Source organism: Homo sapiens, chromosome 13, assembly GCF_000001405.40.
Source record: "Homo sapiens chromosome 13, GRCh38.p14 Primary Assembly".
Taxonomy (NCBI): domain Eukaryota; kingdom Metazoa; phylum Chordata; class Mammalia; order Primates; family Hominidae; genus Homo; species Homo sapiens.
Window position 1 is genome coordinate 34,347,362 of NC_000013.11, and position 20,835 is coordinate 34,368,196.

The 20,835-nt window shown below is 42.6% G+C and overlaps 1 long non-coding RNA gene across 1 annotated transcript in view; it reads left to right on the forward strand.

Moving 5' to 3' along the window:
- Positions 1 to 681: 681 nt before the first annotated feature.
- The window catches only part of LINC02343 (long intergenic non-protein coding RNA 2343), a 268,250-nt gene continuing 248,096 nt past the window's right edge, over positions 682 to 20,835 (forward strand). The window contains exon 1 of the long non-coding RNA NR_146542.1: positions 682 to 763. This is a non-coding gene — a long non-coding RNA (long intergenic non-protein coding RNA 2343). The remainder of the gene's footprint in view (positions 764 to 20,835) is intronic.

Below are 20,835 nucleotides of genomic sequence, written 5' to 3' on the forward strand. Positions count from 1 at the left end.
TCCTGTAGACCAACATGAGCTCTCTGAGGAGCAGGGGATGGGAGCTGCTGTGTTATTTTACAGGTTAAGTCACATGTCACGTGTCCTTGCTCTGTCCCCTGTTAACAGCAAAGATCCTGTCAAATGCATTCAGTAAGGGATTAGTAAACTAGAGCTGACACACATAGTTCTGGACCCAGAGGGTCTTTGATAGAACCCTGTAGTTCATTCATCTACCTTTAGGAAGAGCTGTGGGGATATGACCTGCGTTGTTTTCTTAAAATAAGGAAATAGGGACATGTGGGAGGAGGGAGAGGAGCAGAAAAGATAACGATTGGGTACTGGGCTTAATACCCAGGTGATGAAATAATCCGTATGACAAACCCCCATGATGTGTTTATCTATGTAATAAATTTTCACGTGTACCCCCAAACCTAAAATAAAAGTTAAAAAGTATACAAATAAGGGAAGTATCTTCAGGATGTGTCTGTGGCTTTTAATCCATGTGCTTTCTGTTTTGTAAGAACTAATTGTGCTGAAGTCCAGCTCTGTGACACTGAAGGTCACCAGTTCCCTTGCTGGCTTCGACTGAATGATTCCCCTGTGAAGTCCCTTGTTTACTGTATTTGTAATTAGCCACCAAGAACTTGAGTAACCGGTTTCCGAGGAGAACATATATCCTGAATCAGTTCCTGGACATTTGTTTGAGGTCTTGTAAGGGAAACTGAAGGGAATTGTGTATTGAACAGGATGGCTTAGACCTGCTCAACTTCTGAGAATTGAGGTAAGTGCCTGACGTCAGCATGATTTCTGTTTAGCAGAAGTGGGAGTTTTAATGAAACCGATCTTTGAGCTAACGAATTTAAATGACTGAACTAAGGTGTCACTTTCAAAAGTATATATTTGAATCCATATGTTTTTTGTGGCTGTGCACATCACTGCTAGAAATTTGCGTTTAACTCGGGTAATATTTGCAGACTGACAGGGGGCAGATGGGAGCCAGCTGCTAAGTGAGAGAATCCACCTGCTTGCCAGTTGGAGTGTGATAGGAAGCAAACGGCCCTGATAGAGACTCTATTTCTAGGCACACTGACAGAGCATTCAGCGAAGTGTCACCACACTTTGCTTCATCTAGATCATCAGGGCAAACCTGAAACTCTATCAGGAGAGGGACCAGACTCTTCCAAGAAGATGGAGGGAACCAGGGACACAGAGCATCCTCCCTACTCAGGTCCCTATTGCTATGGTAAAGGAGGAGAAGAAAGACAGATGAGGTGAGGAGGCTATTCCAGAAACTGCGTGTGAAATGGGTGGTAAGACATTGCCTTGAGGCATTGCTGAAACAATCAGACTTTCGAGTCTAGTCTGAAGGACATAAGACCAGGGAGACCTTGATATGCAGAGATGCTACCCAAGCTTGGAACCCTTCCAGAGAGAGCCCCCCAAACTTTGTAGAATGTACCTAGCAAGTCAAAGCCTCCTTTGTGCCAAATATCTGTGTTCCTGCTCTCTACTTCTCTACTTTCTACTCCACAGCAAAATGTCCAAGAAAATTCGATCTTCCTCTTTGCTCTCCAACCCTATTCCTAGCCTTCAGTTTTGTTTTGTTTTTTTTTGTTTGTTTGTTTGTTTCTGTTTATCAAAGGAGTGGAATGCATCAGGCAAGAAAGTACCTACCTGCTACACCTTATACATTTTCTTCCTGCTTAGCTCAAACCTGTGAGTGCTGTAGCCAGTGAGGTACATTTCATTAAATGGATGAACCTAGACTTGGGGTATGTGGCAATCAACACACAATACTGAAAAATCTGAGTATGGAACAATCACCTGAGAAAACAGGGTAGGACGGCTTAACCCTTGTGTTCATGCTTGCTCACCCAGGACTTCAAACATCCCTGTGCCTCACTGGGCAAGCCCATGGCCAGGGCAAAGGATATGGAGAGGTGCCCCAATGGGAATGTATACCCTAGAGTGTTGTGAATGCTGGGTGCTGAGGCACCTCAAGGACTGTTTTATCCTAAGCCAGAAGAGGCTCTTTCCTGGAATGCCCAGTAAAGTTCTTCCTTGAGTTTGGTCAAAAACCATGCATTCCAAGCAAGCTGCACTCTGAAAGTCAAGTGTGGTTTTATTGCACTTACTGATTTCCAGTGTGACTCATTTGTCTCAGCAACTGGACATCTGTGTCCACAAAATGGAGGGCACCCAGCCAAGTGTGGGGATGTTCTGATGAAGTTTGGAATTTGTGCAACACATTTTTCATGCTCAGCTGAATTATTGGTAGAAAGCAAGATGCTGCCTAATGAACATCCCAGAAAGCACAGGATCCACTTTCCTGGGATAGTAAGTGACTAAGCATTTTACTCTTGCCTGTTATTATAGCTGAAAAGATACAGAGATGATATTGTATAAGGTGCATTAGCATCTTACCGTTGAATTGCCTTTTTATTTTAACGCTTCCAGAGCCTCTTCGTCTACTTTCTCATTGTGCCTTGACAACTTTCTTGTGAGCAAGGAAGTCTGGTATTACATAACTTTCAATGGAGAAAAATCACATACAAATGGGTTTAGACTTGCTTTAGGGTCCCATTACTTCAGTTGGTCTGTGTATCAGAGACATCTTGGCAGAAAATTGGGACAAGTTAAGGCTAATAAATGGAATTATTACAAAGTCATGAGCAAGGGGTAGGAAAATCACAGGAGATAGTGCAAGAGACCAGAGCTGGTAAAGGCAGTTCCTGTTTCCATCCTAGGCCTTGCGGGGGAAAGAAGAGGTAGCAGATACCCAAGGGGCTGTCATAGAAGTGTGTATTTCAGTTAAGGGGTGCAACCAGCCTAAAGTAACCCTTGTAAAGAACCCAGGGGAATAAATACCCAACCTAACTTTCCTTCATACCCCTTCTAGCCTGCTGCTTGTGTTCCCCTCCCCTGACGGCTATTCCTATCACCACCACCACTGACCAAACGCAAATGAAAGCCAGAAGGCAAGAAAGCCTATTAATGGAGTTCAAAGAATGGAGCCACTGGGGAGCATTTCTAGCTGTAGAGTCAGCCTCAGAAATAGTCAGACCTTCTGGTTGCCATTTCATCTGTCATTCATTGTTATCACCTGGATAACTAAAGATAGGCACATTATAAAGAATCCACTCCACGTTTGCTGGTGACTAAATTCCCTGGAGTAATCCTGGCAAAGGTGTGTTTCTGCCTTCAATTCAATGCAGTTCAGAAAGCATGTTTGAGTTCTGTAAAGTGAGCTACATGGTGTTTAAATTCTTATGAAAGATGTGCCAATTAATGCGATGCTGCATTTTCTTACTATTCCCCAAAATATTTACTATGCCCGATCGCATCCCCAACACACAGACACATGCACGCATACACATACACATGCATATGCATACAAATATACACACACAAACATGTAGGCACACAGAAGCATGTGCACATGGGCACAGGCACACAGAGGCACTCACACACATGCACACATGCACATGCATGAAGGCTTGGAATGAAGCACAGCTTGTGTTTCTGCCTCAGATGCCACAAAATTAATTTTAGTTGGAAAACTCCTTGACAGACTTCCAGGAAAATACCACTCAGAACAGCAGAGCTCCTGTTAACATCTGTCTGCTGTTTTCTCAGAGACATCCAATGCCAATCTTTAAGTTTCTGATTCTCAAAGCTTCCTCTGAAATTAGTCACCTTGATGAAGCTCATGATGATATAGAAGCAGCTATTACTAAAAGGAATTGCTACATTTTTGGTGGTGGTGGTGGTGGTGAAGAAGTAAATAAGTACATGGAAGAATAGATAGATGAGTAGATGGATGGTTGGATGGATGGATGGATGGATGGATGGATGCAGGGATAATGGATTGAGGAATGAGTAGAGGGATGATGGATAAATGGATGAGTGGAGGGATGATGAACTGATGGATGAGTAGAGGGATGATGGATGAATGGATGGGTGGATGGATGGATATGTGGATAGACGGATGGGTAGATAAAAGGATGTATGGATGAGTGGAGTGATCGATGGAGGGATGGATTAATGGGTGAATGGATTAGCGGAGGGATGATGGATTGATGAATGAGTAGAGGGATGATGGATGGATGGATGGTTGGATGAATGGAGGGATGGATGGATGGATAAGTGGAAAGTATGTATGGATGAGTGAGTGTGGATGGATGGATGAATGGGTGGATAGATGGAGAATTTTAGAAAGAAGTCGATATTTTTTTTCTTGAGACAGAGTCTTGCTTTGTTGCCTAGGCTGGAGTGCAGTGGCACGATCTCGGCTCACTGCAACCTCCCCCTCCCGGATTCCTCCTTCCTCAGCCTCCTGAGTAGCTGGGATTACAGGCAGGTGCAACCACGCCCAGCTAATTTTTTTATTTTTAATAGAGACCCGGTTTCACCATGTTTGTCAGGCTGGTCTCGAACTCCTGACCTCCTGATACACCCTCCTCGGCCTCTCAAAGTGCTGGGATTACAAGTGTGAGCCATCATACCCAGCCAAAGGAAGACAATTCTATAACAATTAATAAGGGGGAAGAATCTACCTAACACTCACCTCATTATTCTTGGTGAAAAGAAGCCTGAAGCAAAGGCATCTCTGTCTATCACCATTGCATTCAGAGAGGGTATATATCACAGGAGTTCAGAACACAGGCTCTAGATTCAGAGTCTTGGATTTGAATCCTGGACTTAACAACACTTACTAGCTGTGGGACCTAATCTGTGCCTCTGTAATGCTGTCTCTCTGCAAGGAATTGCTTATCCCACTGCATAGCTGGCTTGATCTGCTAGTGATAACAGGAATGCAATGGAAAGGACAATTACCTTAGACCCTGCAGGGATGTCCAAGGGAGAGAATACAGTCATTTGTTTTTAGTTTCTGTTTCTGGTTGGGCCAGTAAAGCCCCTTCCTCATCCCTCTTTTTCACTTATTACTAGCGACAGAAACTAAAAATCATGGCTTCAGACTCTAAAAGCCTAAACAAAACAAAACAGAACAACAACAACAACAAAATAAGGCAGGTTGGACAAGCTTGCTGGTATTACAGGGATGAAGGTTACCCCATAACACCCAAGACATAGTTCTCTGAGAAAATTTTAAAAATGAAATCATGCCCAGACACAAATTTCTCAGAAAAAAAATTGATATAGGAATTACAGCCAAATATCCATGACTGGTTTGGTTAGAGAATAAAATAATCTTTAAAATAATTTTATCACTTATGAATTATATTCATATATTTTATATATATATATATATGAGGAAGCAAATTGTATTTAGAACTTAGAAGTTAGAAACCCAGCTCAGGCATTGCCTGACCTTGAGCAATTTCCTTAACTTCTCTAAGCCTAATTGCAGGTGGTACAAACTGGTTTTGCTGTGGCCAAAACTGTCCAGCAGATTTGATTCCTTTGGGCCACAAATTCTTTTAAGCACATGTGAACTATGATTTTAAAGTTGGGAAATTCCACCAAAGCATCTCAATTTCTAAGTTTTTGGAAAATTTAAAAAGTCCAGCAACAGTGGACCCATATTCCCACACAGCACCCGTTGGGTGAAGCTGAGTCAGGGCTGCCCCCTTTAGACTGGGCCACGTCTCCATAACCCCTTCCACTTTCTACTGGTTACTGCCTACTTTCTCTTCAGTGTTACCTGCTGGCTCTCAAAGCCCTTGGAGTTGTAATCGCTGCTCTCATATGTAAAAAGAAAAATAATGTCTGAGCTGGGGTTGTTGTGAAAAATAAATAAAATCAAGTAAGTGAAGGGCCCAACACATGTATGACACACCATAGCAATGGAATACGAGTCATCTCCTTTCTCTCCCCTGGTCATGTATTCATTCAGCAAATGCTAAGTGTTCACTATATGCCAGATAATGTGCTAAGTGCTAGAAATGAAAACATACATATGACACGGAGCCTGCCCGTGCAAAAGGTTGCATTCCTGTGAAGGGAGACAGACTTATAAACAAAGTATAAGACCCATCTGAGCAGGCTACTCCATCTTTCCAACCTGTGATGCTTCCTGGAGGGCATCTAAAAGAGTAAAGAGAATTTGGAGGAGTATGTAAATGATTCCTTTAAAAATACTGCTCAAGGTAATGAGGCATGCTCTAACCTGGGATAAGGGAGTCTCCTTAGCGGGTTTTCCAAATCTATTCATTTTACCAAATTAGACACGTTCTTGTAAATTTCATTTACATTTGATACTAGAATGGGCAATTATAGGTCTTACATGGCAAGATCAGGGCACCTTGAAGGAACACCTGGATCCTACTTCACTGACTGCAAAGAGATTAAAATAAAACCTTGTCACCCTAGTCAGATGGAGGCAATGAAGAGAAAATGGAATCATAAAAGCCCAGAATATTAATTCCACCTCAGTCTTCCTTTTAATATCAAGCATCCCTGGATTTGGGTTTGCAGAAATTCACATTGCTGTGTCACATAAGCTAGAATCTCCCAGAGGGGCACAGAGCGCTTTGGGGCGCATTCATTATACATCAGCATTACACAATGCATTGTACAGCGTCAGTGCCAAAGTCATAATATGCCCTGTGCTCCACTCCCTCCCCTATTTCTCTATCCTAAGGCTGACTTTAGCCTACTCATCACCATGGCTATTATTCTTCTTTATTCTTCTCAAAATCTGCGATTTCATCATTTTACCCTTTTCTACAGGCTTCTGAGATCAGTTTGTTCATTCGTATAGTTGGCCCCAGTAACAAAGCTAAAACTTCTATATTCACCGGATTTCCAGAATGTGAATGTTGGGTCTTAAACCTTATGGTCAAATAATATATTTTTTTATTTTAAAAAATCATTGCAGTATAGAAGAAAAAATACATGGCTTTGAGGCCAAAGAGATCCAAGTCCAAATCCTTGCTTTCCCAGTTATTAGCTCAGTGACAAAGGACCCAGCCTCTCTGAGCAGTTTTCCCAATTGTTATACAATTTATGGTAAAAATCATGAGTAAATTGCATGAGATCACCAGAAGTCATAACACATAGCAGGCACTCATCAGGATACTTGTCCATCATCACAAAATAAGGTGTGATTATTGGTTTTACATATAGTAGCTTACCCTCATATGCTGCCTAATGTAAAGGCACTTGGAGAGGCGATTTCACATGTACCCCGATCTTTACAAGAAACTATTTACTATTTGAGAAACCTTTGCTCAGGGAGATTAAGTAAGTGCTTTGTGTGAATTAACCTATTTGATTCTCATGACAGCTTATTATTATCTTTATTTGATAAATGAGAAAACTAAAGCATAAAGAGTTCAGGCAACTGGCCCCAGGTCATAGTGAGTAAGTGGTGGAAATGACATTCAGTCCCCGTCTGGTTCCAAAAACATGCTCTTAATGAGAAGGTCATTAAGAGCATAAGGTCATTCAATAGCAAATTTTGAGAAGAATGAAAACATAACCATGGTGATAAGTAGGCAGAAGTTAGCAAGGGAGAAGATAACCAAGCCAGGACTACCTCATCCCTAATACACTCACACACATCCCCCCCTCACACACACACACACACACATACACTCAGAATACACACATACACACACTGATACACAGAGTTTCCCCAGTGCTTTAGAATGGGTCTGGTTATGGCTCGACCCAGGAACTGTGAGTCCCGGACCAGGTGAGTCTGGGGACATTATTGTCTAGGACCCTGTAGAGCACCCCACCGTGACTACCACATTAAACCTCTCTAAGACTTCTGCATAACTGACCCAAATCCTGAAATACGTCTAGAACTGAGCAGACCTCATAGATCCCAACCCCTGAAATGGAAGAGCTATGTGCGTATATATATATTTTTATCTCCCTTCTCCCAATATGCTTTATATTCATTCACAGGCATCTTAGGGAAGCAAATGTTGAAATGGGAAACCCAACCTCATAAATTGTGCTGCAGTTCCACCAAACGGCCGGTCACTCAACACACGTTGATAAGAAAGTCCCATGATGGCACTGAATGTGCTAGAGTCCCCCTGGAATTTCAGGTGGTGCAGAGCTTGGGGTGGTGCTCCGCCACGGGGGAGAGAAGGGACCCTGTGTGCCACAGAATTCTGAGGAGCCAGGACATATGGTAGAGGAGAGAGACGCAGCAGGGAAAGAGGACAGAAGTTGAAAACATCTCTCCTCATTGGTAATCACTCATTTCAGCAGCATTTTAACCCAAGAACGTGATCTCCTGATATAAACAGGGCAGAGCCATCTTTGTCAGGTGATTTGAGGAATAGTGAGAATGTGCACCTGGCCTGTTCCAATAGCCCATTCTCACTGGTGTTCAAATGTCACAGCTAGATCATCTTGTTAGGCCCCCTTCTTTTTCTATGTTTTTGAGAGGGAGTCTTGCTCTGTCGCCCAGGCTGGAGTGCAGTGGTGCGATCTCGGCTCACTGCAAGCTCCGCCTCCCAGGTTCATGCCATTCTCCTGCGTCAGCTTCCCGAGTAGCTGGGACTACAGGTGCCCGCCACCATGCCCAGCTAATTTTTTTTTTTTTGTATTTTTAGTAGAGACGGGGTTTCACCATGTTAGACAGGATGGTCTCGATCTCCCGACATCATGATCCACCCGCCTCGGCCTCCCAAAGTGCTGGGATTACAGGCGTGAGCCACCGCGCCCAGGCTTTTTTTTTTTTTTGAGACGCAGTCTCTCTCTGTCTCCCAGGCTTGAGTGCAGTGACAGGATCTCGGCTCACTGCAACCTCCACCTCCCAGATTCACGTGATTCTCCCGCCTCAGCCTCCCGAGTAGCTGGGACTACAGGTGCCCGCCACTACACTCGGCTAATTTTTGTAATTTTAGTAGAGACAGGGTTTCACCATATTGGTCAGGCTGGTCTCAAACTCCTGACCTCAGGTGATCCACCCGCCTCAGCCTCCCAAAGAGCTGGGATTACAGGCGTGAGCCACCGTGCCAGGCCTTAAGCCTCCTTCTTTTGCAAAAGCACTGCCTTCTTCATTGAGAGGATGGTAGTTGGAGGGATTATCATCTACGTCTAATTAAAAGGCAAAACAAGAGTCACAGAAGACATACAGCAATAGAAGACCATGCTTCTGAAAATGTCAACAAAAATTCAAAGCTGCAGCCTCAACAAATCCCTCTCCCATCCTCACCATGTCCGGCAGCCTCTTCCCAACTCACTAGTATTGGCCCCTCCAGGCACCCTTATTTCACATGGTTGAGATCTCTTTTCCAAAGAAAAGCTTCTCACGGGAGAATTCTGCACTCATCCACCCTTGGATAGACATGTCTATACAACATAGCATTTTCGTTATCTGGGAACCCTTTGTCCTCTCTAAGAGGGGACAAAGCCTTGTGATAAGAAAATCAGGGAGACAGGGTGGATATTTTTTTGAGGTCACATTGTTGCAGCCACAGTTTCCTTAGCCACTACTCTCCCTGTCTGTAGGCTGGTCTTACATGCCTGATGGCTCTAGCATGTTTCTTTGCCATTTGTTTGGGTGATTACATCAAGCAGGCAGCACTTCTGCAGCTTGGGTGGAAGCGGAGAGGAAGCTGACCCTCCTGGTCCATTCTTCCCCTAGCTCTCATTCTTCCCCTAGCTCTCATTCTTCCGTGGGAACCAGCAATGCAGAATGATTTGTATAGGGCATATCTGAGGATGTCTTGAGCTACTGTTTTCACTAAAACATTACTGCAAATTCACTTGCCTGCTTAGCTTCAAGAGTTGAACTGGGATGGTAGGGTAAGTGAGAAGCGGGAGAAGCAAGCTCACTCACACAGGCCTGGCTTGGGAGAGGTGCCCAGGCATGGAGGGGAGCTGAGCACAGTGGTTTACATGAGAAGCACAGTAAGAAAGGGGTGCGAGGAGGTAGTAAACTGGCCAGGGCCCTGGGGACACCTCTGCCCTAGAATCTAAAGAAAAAATGGTTTAATCCACCTTGGGCAGATTGTGGTTAGTAACCTGAAACCCCTCAACCAATATGTGCCTGCTGAAATTCACTGGAGTTTTGATCTGCAGCAACATTCTAAAAATTACTTTAGTTTGTTCATTTTTTATTGTTTTAGGAAATAAGCTATCAAGGCATTCCTTCTTGCTCTGTAAGCCCAGCGATGTCACCGAGAACAGGAAGTGACACATCATAGTGCCTCCTAACTCACGCTGGAGCAGCTTTCTCTAAAGCCGGCTGTCTTCTGCCAGCTCGGTGTCTGGGCATGGACACAAGGTCTTGGGGATATGATTAATGATCAGCAGACAATCTGCTCTTCAGGTGACTCTCTGTTCAGCCTGGGAAGGAGCTGAGGAGAGAGGTGTGAGAGTTGTCCAGGGTGGGGGTTATGAAAGAGGCCAAGGTCCTCCATGGGATTCTGCCCACCTGCCATCTGCTCTCAGAGCCTAGAGCCCACAGCTGCACCAGTTGCAGTGAGCTGGGTGCTGTTTGAGTTCAGGGATGCGCTGTCTAGGGAGATTTTCATCTGCCCTCCCCACCTTCACTACTTACCCTGACTTGCTTTTGTGGACTGGGTAGGGAGGGCGTGCAGAGGCATGGGAGTAAGCAGTGGGGTTAAGCCCTCTCAAGGGAGACTCCTGAGTTCAGGGAAGCCTGCAGAGGGCTCTGTCTGGAAGCCCAAGCAGCCATAGGAATCTGCCATCCCCTCCTCCACCTCGAGCCTTCTTTAGCAAAGTTCTCCCCATCCCTGATGCTCAAACTCTGGTCGGTGGACCACCAGCCTTGAGACCATGAGAGCTTGATGGAAACACAAAAATGCAGGCCCCACCCAGACCTGCTGAATCAGAATGTGCATCTTGTAAGATCCCCAAGTGATTCATATGCACTTTGCACACTTTGCATTTGAGAAGCAGCTGCTCTAAATGATCTTCTGATATAAACGGGGCAGTCATTATTGCCTCAGGAATTGAAGCAGAAATACAAACCCACCCCCACCCTGCCCCAAATTACCTTTCTCACTAGTATCAGAACATCAGTTAGAGATTCACGCTTTTAGATCATCGATCCTCTTCTTTTGTCTAAACAGGTCTATTTTTTATTAAAATTCAAATATTCCCAGCCAGGCGCAGTGGTTCACGCCTGTAATCCTAGCACTTTGGGAAGCCAAGGCAGGCGGATCACCTGAGATGAGGAGTTCGAGACCAGCCTGGCCAACACGGAGAAACTCTGTCTCTACTAAAAATACAAAAATTAGCTGGTTGTGGTGGTGCACACCTGTACTCCCAGCTACTCAGGAGGCTGAGGCAGGAGAATCACTTGAACCTGGGAGGCAGAGGTTGCAGTGAGCCGAGATAGTGCCACTGCACTCCAGCCTGGGTGACAGAGCAGGACTCCATCTCAAAAAATAATAATAATAAAAAAATTCGTATGTTCCTTGTGAGGGAGAACATATGGGATCCCTCAGTAACAAGGTTAAAAAATTTTTTTATTGAGCTCATATTAGTTGCCACATATCCGAGATACTTGGGGTAAATGTATTTGGTGTAAACGAATTACTTTTCCCTGGAGACAAGAAAGCCAAGTGTTAAGAGAACAGCAGCCTTCTTTTTGGGGGAAAGGATTATTCAAGGGACAGAAGAGAGGGAACATCCAAGACAAACAAGTATGACCTTCCACTCCATCCTGAAGAAACTTGTCTCTCAGAGCTTTCCAAGTTGTGGAGATGATGATTCCATTTCCATTCAAAATCATCCTCTGTCATTTCAACTTAACGGGAAAAACCAATGGCATTTTGAAGACAAGATGTCTGGGTGCATGTTTATTTTTAGAAGGAGACAGACCACAGCACATTCATTCTGCAAGAAAGAAGCAAGTCCTGGCTCTGCATACTGAATCAGTGAGCAATACCTCAAAAGTGGAAAGATTAAACTCTCCAAAGAATGGGGGCAGTGGCCTCAGCTTATTTATTTTCTCCCAGGAAACAGCACAGCACTGGGTATGCCAGAACTGCAGAAGCAGCACCATAATAAACAAACTGTCTTCTCAAGCCTTCTGACTCTGTTTGGGTACCCATGAATGAATAGTATCTATTTCAATTCCTAAAATGTATGATTCATGATGACTTGTTTGTATTTGCCTTTCATTTTCACTGTAACTGAATGAGACCATCCTTCAGGTACTAAGGTAGAATCATCTTTGTGACTTAATAATGGTAATAATCACAGAGACCAAGTCATTACTCTCTGCCAGGTATTGTGACACATGCTTTTGAAGTTGGGAGACAATGCTCCATGGGTCACTCACATTGTTGCAAGTGATTCCAGCAGAGGCATTGACTGTCTTTATTCTGGATTATTTTTTTCAAAATGTTTGTACACCAAACAGCTTTGTGAGATTGATACAGTGTCTCCCTCCAGAGCTAGGAGTGTATATGCTTACTGTCCAGTACAATAAACATAATATCTCACTCTGGAGGAATGGACAGTATGGTTACCACCTGTTACAAAATATTCAGTTTTCCTAAGTTCAGCATTCTTCTGTAACAGAGCCCATCATGTGGACAGGTATTTCTTGGCCTTTTTGTGTTGCCCTGCGGGAACTGGGACTTGGGGACTAGTACAAGAGAATGCTCATACTCTGGCTTCTGCTTTTGCTGTGAATAACAAAGTCCTTTGTCTCTGATCCAAGAGTCTCATGCCTTCTGCCAGTGTCCTGTAACTGTGGCAGGCTAACTTATGAGGTTGCAAGTGGGATTAAAATCTCAGATCCTTCCTACTTCTTGATAAAAGCAATAACTCATTTTATCCTCTGAAAAACCTTAGGAAAGTACTATCATTTTCACAACGTGGATTCACAGATGTTATCACTAAACTATATTGACGTGTCCACAGGGGGTCATAGGACTGAAATTCCATCCAGAGGGAGACCTTAGTTTCTATGAAGTATTGTCCTTTTATACATTTTATACACTTTTTAAAATTGAAAATACTTCTGGGATGGGGATTCTTTTTTTTTTTTTTTTTTTGAGACGGAGTCTTGCCTTGTCGCCCAGGCTGGAGTGCAGTGGCACGATCTTGGCTCACTGCAAGCTCCACCTCCCAGGTTCACACCTTTCTCCTGCCTCAGCCTCCCCAGTAGCTGGGACTACAGGCACCCGCCACCACACCTGGCTAATTTTTTGTATTTTTATAGAGATGGGGTTTCACCCTGTTAGCCAGGATGGTCTCTATCTCCTGACCTTGCGATCTGCCTGCCTCAGCCTCCCAAAGTGCTGAGATTACAGGTGTGAGCCACCACACCAGGCCCTGAGGGGGGGTTCTAAGTTAGTGTACTAAATTAGCATCCCTAATCCCTTAGTATGACTTAAACATAAAAGGTGGGCTTAAAAAGTAGGATGCTGGAAGGGAACAGAGGGTTACAGAAAGGAGGGATGAAAGAAATACTTTTACTTTCTTATTTTTGACTATGGCTGGCCCAGGCAATACCCAATTCTCTTTATCAAGGTGAGCAGAAAGGGTTTCATTAGTCCATAGACAGGGTTCCTTTGTAGTGTGAACTGAGAAGGGAATTCATCTACCTCTTCCCAGAGGCAGCTCTGTTCTTGGCCATTCCACTGGCATGATGCATGTCATGATGTGTCACTTCATCTGCAATACCTGGAAGCCACAATTCTCTGAGGTGCTGGCATAAATGGGATCTGCCAGAAGACCTTGACCACTAGGATTTATTATTTGAAATAGGCTAATTGGTCTAATGCTTTCCTAAAATTCAGTACAGGAACACTTCTGCACAGATGCAGGGAGGCAAGGTAGTAAGGAGCTTAAACATTGATTATATCTCTCACGTCCAGGCCATAAACACAGTGCCCAAGGTGAATGGGGAGTCAAGCCTACATTTATTTATTCATTCAAAGAACATTTAACTTCTAGAAGTGCTTTGGTATAGAGTTCAACATGGGATCCAGAGATGACTGAGATTCAGACATTTACCCCACCTAAAACTTTACAATTTAAAAGCAAAAATAAAACAAGTACTCCAATAATAAAATATACCCAACTAGGGAACATATAGTATAAAATTAGATAAACCGTGATCTGTCAGAACTCAGAGCAGGAAGTAATCACATCAGGCTGGGGGCTCAGGACCCGGTCTTTTTCAGAGAGTGGATAGGGTTTTCAAGGGTAAGGCTGAGGAGGTGAGCCATTTTGTGTTGAGGAGACAATGTCAGCAAGCGATGGGACCTGTTTGTGGGGAAAGTAAGTAGCCAGAATTGGCCAGAGCATAAAGTACAGGAAGTTTCTTAGTGAGAAACGAGGCTGGAAAGCAGGCTGGGATCAGATGGAGGAAAACCATGAATGCCAGATGAAAGATTCATGGCTTTATTCCAGAGGGACCCAAGAATCATTAAAAGTATGTTGCCCGGGGCAGGGAACATCAGCAGATGTTACAGAAACTGAAGGCATCTGAGAAGCCAACATTCTCATCTATAAAATCAAACCTTGGAAAGAGGCCTCAGGCCAGACATCAACAAAACACAGACTTATTATTTGCTTAACAGAAAGAGAGGAGTTGTTCTTTTGAGTTGTTGAAGGGTGGTGATCAGCTTTTGTACACGGTTCACTTGGAGATTACTTAGTATCTTAGTATCCAGCTTCACATGACGTTAACCAAGCATCTGTTATAGTCTTACGTGGGTTTTTTGGCCCCTTCACAGAAGAATTAACAACATTTCAATTATCCACTATGTAACATAAAGTCAGGCACCAAGTAGATGCTCAATAAATATTTGTTTAATAAATTACACTTAATAAAGCATAAAAATAAATGGGTATCTCCAATAAGTCAAGACCAGATGCTATCTAATGTCTGCAACAGTTATAAAAAGTTAGCAAAACTATTCACTCTGTTTTTTTGGTTTAATGTCTTTGTTGAGGGCTAATTTTTTTTTAACAGTATGGCTATAAACGCAATTTTTTTCAGCAAATTTTTAACTACAGCATTTAATATCAGAAAGCCAAGCTCAGCTAACACTTCCATGTGCCTGAGACATCAATGCCAGACATATTGGCCTCATTTAAACAAACAATAATTAACCTAGTCACACAAATTTTAGTAAATAGAGCTAAATTTAAGCAATCTGACAGTTTTCCCTTTCTGCTGTTATGCATTTTAGTTTGTATTTTTTATTTATCTAGAGCAGACCATTTATACAGACTTCCAGAACTCGATATGCAATAGGATTGTAAAGAAATATTTATACGGACCTCCAGAAATAGATATGCAATAAGATTATAAAGAAACATTTACACAGACCTCCAGAAATAGATATGCAGTAAGATTTCATATCTGGGCCGGGAGCGGTGGCTCACGCCTGTAATCCCAGCACTTTGGGAGGCCGAGGCGGGCGGATCACGAGGTCAGGAGATCGAGACCATCCTGGCTAACACGGTGAAACCCCGTCTCTACTAAAAATACAAAAAATTAGCCGGGCGTGGTGGCGGGCGCCTGTAGTCCCAGCTACTCGGGAGGCTGAGGCAGGAGAATGGCGTGAACCCGGGAGGCGGAGCTTGCAGTGAGCCGAGATCGCGCCACTGCACTCCAGCCTGGGTGACAGAGCGAGACTCTGTCTCAAAAAAAAAAAAAAAAAAAAAAAAAAAAAGATTTCATATCTGGAAATCATGGAGTCACAAAGATAACTGTGAATCTGTAGAGTTCATCACATGATTAATACAGAAACGTCGAGAATCGCATCCCTTTGAATGCTGAAACCTTCATTAACAGTAAAACTGTTAAATCTTGCAGACAGGTAGAAAATGTGGTTCCTCACATCCAGTCTGTTGAAATTTCAGAAAGTTTAATGAACTTAAAGGAGAGCAAAGAGTCACCCTACCCTCGACAGCACTGAAGTTATTTCATCTGCTATAGAGATTTAATTAATGACTTGTTTGATTTCCCCAAACTTCAAAAATTGATATTTTCACGATCGGTTCTAGCTGACCTTGCTGCCTGCTGCAGCAGCCTCCCCAGGGCGTGCCACACAAAACGCCAGGCTCCTGCTTGAGGGCTCACAGCCAGACCAGCAAACACTGAGGGAAAAAACCAGCATCTCCTGATGTGTTGTGATGTAGTTTGGAGGGTGGGGAAATCCCTGGGTAGGCTCTGCTTTCATTTGCGGATGAATATTCCCTATGGAAGTAGAGAGGAAGGAAAAGGGTAGAGCCCCTAAATAATAACTAGCAAGAATCTTCCTTGCACCAGGAGAGTATGAGTCAGGGTAGTCAGGAGACAGGGCTTTTGAGCCAGAAAAATCTGGGATCAAATCTTGCTTATTGGCCAGACACAGTGGCTCATGCCTGTAATCCCAATACTTAGGGAGACCAAGGTGGGCAGCTCACTTGAGGTTAGGAGTTCGATACCAGTCTGGCCAACATGGAGAAACCCCATATCTATTAAAAATATATAAAAAATTAGCTGAGCATGGTGGTGCATGCCTATAGTCCCAGCTACTTGGGAGGCTGAGGTAGGAGGATCACTTAAGCCTGGGAAGTTGAAGCTGCAGTGAGCAGAGATTGGACCACTATACTCCAGCCTGGGCAACAGAGCAAGACTCCATCTAAAAAAAAAAAAAATCTGGCTTATTAGTGGTGTGTCTGAATAAGTAACCTCACTTCCCTGAACCTCAGTTTCTTCATCTGTGAAATGGAGAGAATGTAAGGGTATGTGTGGAGGATCTTGTTCTAGGACAAACACCCCTAGTCTCAGTGTTAACGTACTGCCAAGAAACCTGAATCCAGATGTTCATTACAGGAAATGGCAGCAAGTTCTAGCAAGGGGGCCAGTCATTGTCATAACCTAAATTATGATGGGAGAATTTAATCTTGCTAATACTGAGAACCTGGAACTTTGTTTTCACCATCAACTCTTTCTATACCTCTATTTGATGCCTTTGGAAACATTTGATAATGGGAGACAAAAGGAAGACAGGGAAAGGAGAAAAGAAAAGCTGTAGGAAGGAAAAGTGTAAACTGTAAATACCTACTTGTCTTTCTTCATGAGCTTCATTTTCTCTTCTTTTAAAAGATGTTTATTTCAGGTACATGAGTTATGTAGGTTGAAAATGTCATAAACAAGAATGTACTGCTGATTCAAATGTTTTATATTCACACATCCATGCAACTATATACAGATGAATTGACAGCTCGTTTAAAATCCAGATGAGAGAAGCTTAATGCATTTTGTTGAAGCAGGTACCATTTGGATTTATTTATGTTTAAGTGAAAAGACAGTTTATTAAAAATGTTAATTTGATAATCTTAATATTTTAGTTACATATAATGCATTTCTTTAATATTTTCTGGAAAAATGAATTCATTGACAAAATTTATTAGATAAAAGGGAATGCTTCACCTGAGCAAAATGTAGTGAGAATTCTGATAAACTATCATATATTTGGGGTGTTTTAAAGGAAGGGGTGCCCAGGAGAACTTTTATGATTCTGCTGACATGCAGCAAACAGTCACTCCCTGCTGGTGCTCTGTGGCTTCATACAAACATAGCATGTGTGTGTGTGATTGCGTGGGTGTTGGAGAGAGAGGAGTTCCCCAGAGCAAGGAATGAAAAAGATACTGCTGTACCAGGCAGCAAAACAACAAACACCTACCTCACCATTCAGTGACCCCTGGGCAGTCAGACTCTGGGCAAAGACCAACTTTAAAGGTTTCTGAAAAGGAATAGCTGAAGGATACTTGACTCAGGTAATTCTTAATTCAGGTGAGGAATTTCCCCAGAGGTCACTAATTTGTCTTCTGCCCAGAAAAGAAAGGAATGAGAATTGCTTTCATTGAGGAAAAGAATCTTCAGAGGATGCACAGCTCTTTGGTACAGTTGTCTGCATCTCAAGAAATACATAAGCAAGTCACCTTCCACGGAAGAGTGAGGGGTAGTAATAAGAACACTAAAAGAAAGATGTTAACTTCAAAGTACTCTGCAGATGTTAACTCATTTTGCATGGCTACTTTCTGGAAATATAGAAAAACAACCAGAATTTTACTTATGAAAAAAGTTCATCAAAGCAATAGAAAACCCTGCCAACCTATACCATATATATATACACACACACACACTTATATGTGACGACATATATACAGACATATATTTATTAAAATCTATACTTTCATACTTATATATGAGTATATATGTATACATATGTATGTGTGTATAGCTAGAAATATAGTCAGAGCCTCAAGGAAGCTGAGAAGTTCCTCATTCTGGTTTCTTGTTTGTGAAATCTATTTATGTATGATTTTGCTAATGATTTGGCAATTACTAGGTAAATTTGACCAATATGAATGGCCAACCTAATAATTTATGTCACAAAAAACATTCTAAAGTTTGAATGATCTGTATTTCTGCCCACATTTATTTTTGAATATTGAGTTTTCTAGACATTTATTCACTTATTACAGTGTAGACAGAAATCTATGTGCATATTTATAAGCTGTTTTCATCAAAGCTACTGCTGCCACCTAAGCCACATGCAGCCAACAACAAATGGTCAGATTACTCTCATGGAAATCATACATTAAATGCATAGAAAATCTGCAAACCTTATCTCAGACAGTGGTTTTAGTTTCTCCCCTCAGCGGATCTCTTATGAAAGCTGTTAACAGGTTGATTGGAATTTTCTATCCTCTCCACCCTCTGGTGGAAACACTAATAAGCAATGAAATGGCTAAAGCACAGTGCAGAGAGGATAAGCAAAGGCCCTGAAGACCCTCCAGCTTCATAATCACATCCTGAATAATCAGCAATTGACAGAAGGTCCACAAACAAAGTGCTTTCTCCATACTCTGCAGCAAACTGAGCAAAGACGGTGAAACCTCAATGTTACGCATACACTTGTTCTGAAGTTACTCGACAGGCTGCCTAAGGAGGTGAAATCAAAATCTGATTTGCTATTACTGCCAGTCAGATTTCTCTGGTAGTATTAGCTATCTTTAAGACACATTTCCATGGCAACTAGTTTAAAAACATATTTACCTATAGAGCCTTTTGTGTTATGAAAGCCAGAATAACCTAAGTGGACTTTCTTGTGATAGCTCTTTGCCAACAGGACAGCGACTCTGAAGCATGGGGCTGAGTAGGACAGCCCCTCATGTACAGGCAGTGTGGTATCTGGTGTCCTGGGCCAGACCGGCCTTCAGGGTACTGGGGAAGCCAGCTTGTTAGATTTTCTTGAGTCACCATTTCTCTCCTTGGGGCCAGCCTCGTCTGCCTCCTTCCTAGGCTTTCTCAAACCCCATTCTGCTGCTGGAGCCCTACCACCTGTTCCAGGCTAATTTGTCCAGCCCTGCCCCAGATGCTGAGGCCAATCAGAATGTGATTGTGTCATGCACATGTATGTTTATTGCAGCACTATTTACAATAGCAAAGACTTGGAACCAACTCAAATGTCCATCAATGACAGACTGGATAAACAAAATGTGGCACAAATACACCATGGAATACTATGCAGCCATAAAAAAGAATGAGTTCATGTCCTTTGCAGGGACATGGATGAAGTGGGAAGTCATCATTCTCAACAAATTAACACAGGAACAGAAAACCAAACACCTGACTTCAAACTATACTACAAGGCTACGGTAACCAAAACAGCATGGTACTGGTACCAAAGCAGTGATACAGACCAATGGAACAGAACAGAGCCCTCAGAAATAATACCACACGTCTACAACTATCTGATCTTTGACAAATCTGACAAAAACAAGAAATGGGGAAAGGATTCCCTATTTAACAAATGGTGCTGGGAAAACTGGCTAGCCATATGTAGAAAGCTGAAACTGGATTCCTTCCTTACACCTTATAAAAAAATTAATTCAAGATGAATTAAAGACTTAAATGTTAGACCTAAAACCATAAAAACCCTAGAAGAAAACCAAGGCAATACCATTCAGGACATAGGTATGAGCAAGGACTTCATGTCTAAAACACCAAAAGCAATGGCAACAAAAGCCAAAATTGACAAATGGGATCTAATTAAACTAAAGAGCTTCTGCACAGCAAAAGAAACTACCACCAGAGTGAACAGGCAACCTACAGAATGGGAGAAAATTTTTGTAATCTACTCATCTGACAAAGGGCTAATATCCAGAATCTACAAAGAACTTAAACAAATTTACAAGAAAAAAAAAACAACCTCATCAAAAATTGGGCGAAGGATATGAACAGACACTTCTCAAAAGAAGACATTTATGCAGCCAAAAGACATCTGAAAAAATACTCATCATCACTGGCCATCAGAGAAATGCAAATCAAAACCACAATGAGATACCATCTCACACCAGTTAGAATGGCAATCATTAAAAATTCAGGAAACAACAGGTGCTGGAGAGGATGTGGAGAAATAGGAACACTTTTACACTGTTAGTAGGACTGTAAACTAGTTCAACCATTGTGGAAGACAGTGTGGCGATTCCTCAGGGATCTAGAAAGAAATACCATTTGACCCAGCCATCCCATTACTGGGTATATACCCAAAGGATTATAAATCTTGCTGCTATAAAGACACATGCACACGTATGTTTATTGCGGCACTATTCACAATAGCAAAGACTTGGAACCAACCCAAATGTCCATCAATGATAGACTGGATTAAGAAAATGTGGCACATACACCGTGGAATACTATGCAGCCATAAAAAATGATGAGTTCATGTCTTTTGTAGGGGCATGGATGAAGCTGGAAACCATCATTCTCAGCAAACTATCACAAGGACAAAAAACCAAACACCACATGTTCTCACTCATAGGTGGGAACTGAACAATGAGAACACTTGGACACAGGAAGGGGAACATCACACACCGGGGCCTGTTGTGGGATCGCGGGAGGGGGGAGGGATGGCATTAGGAGATATA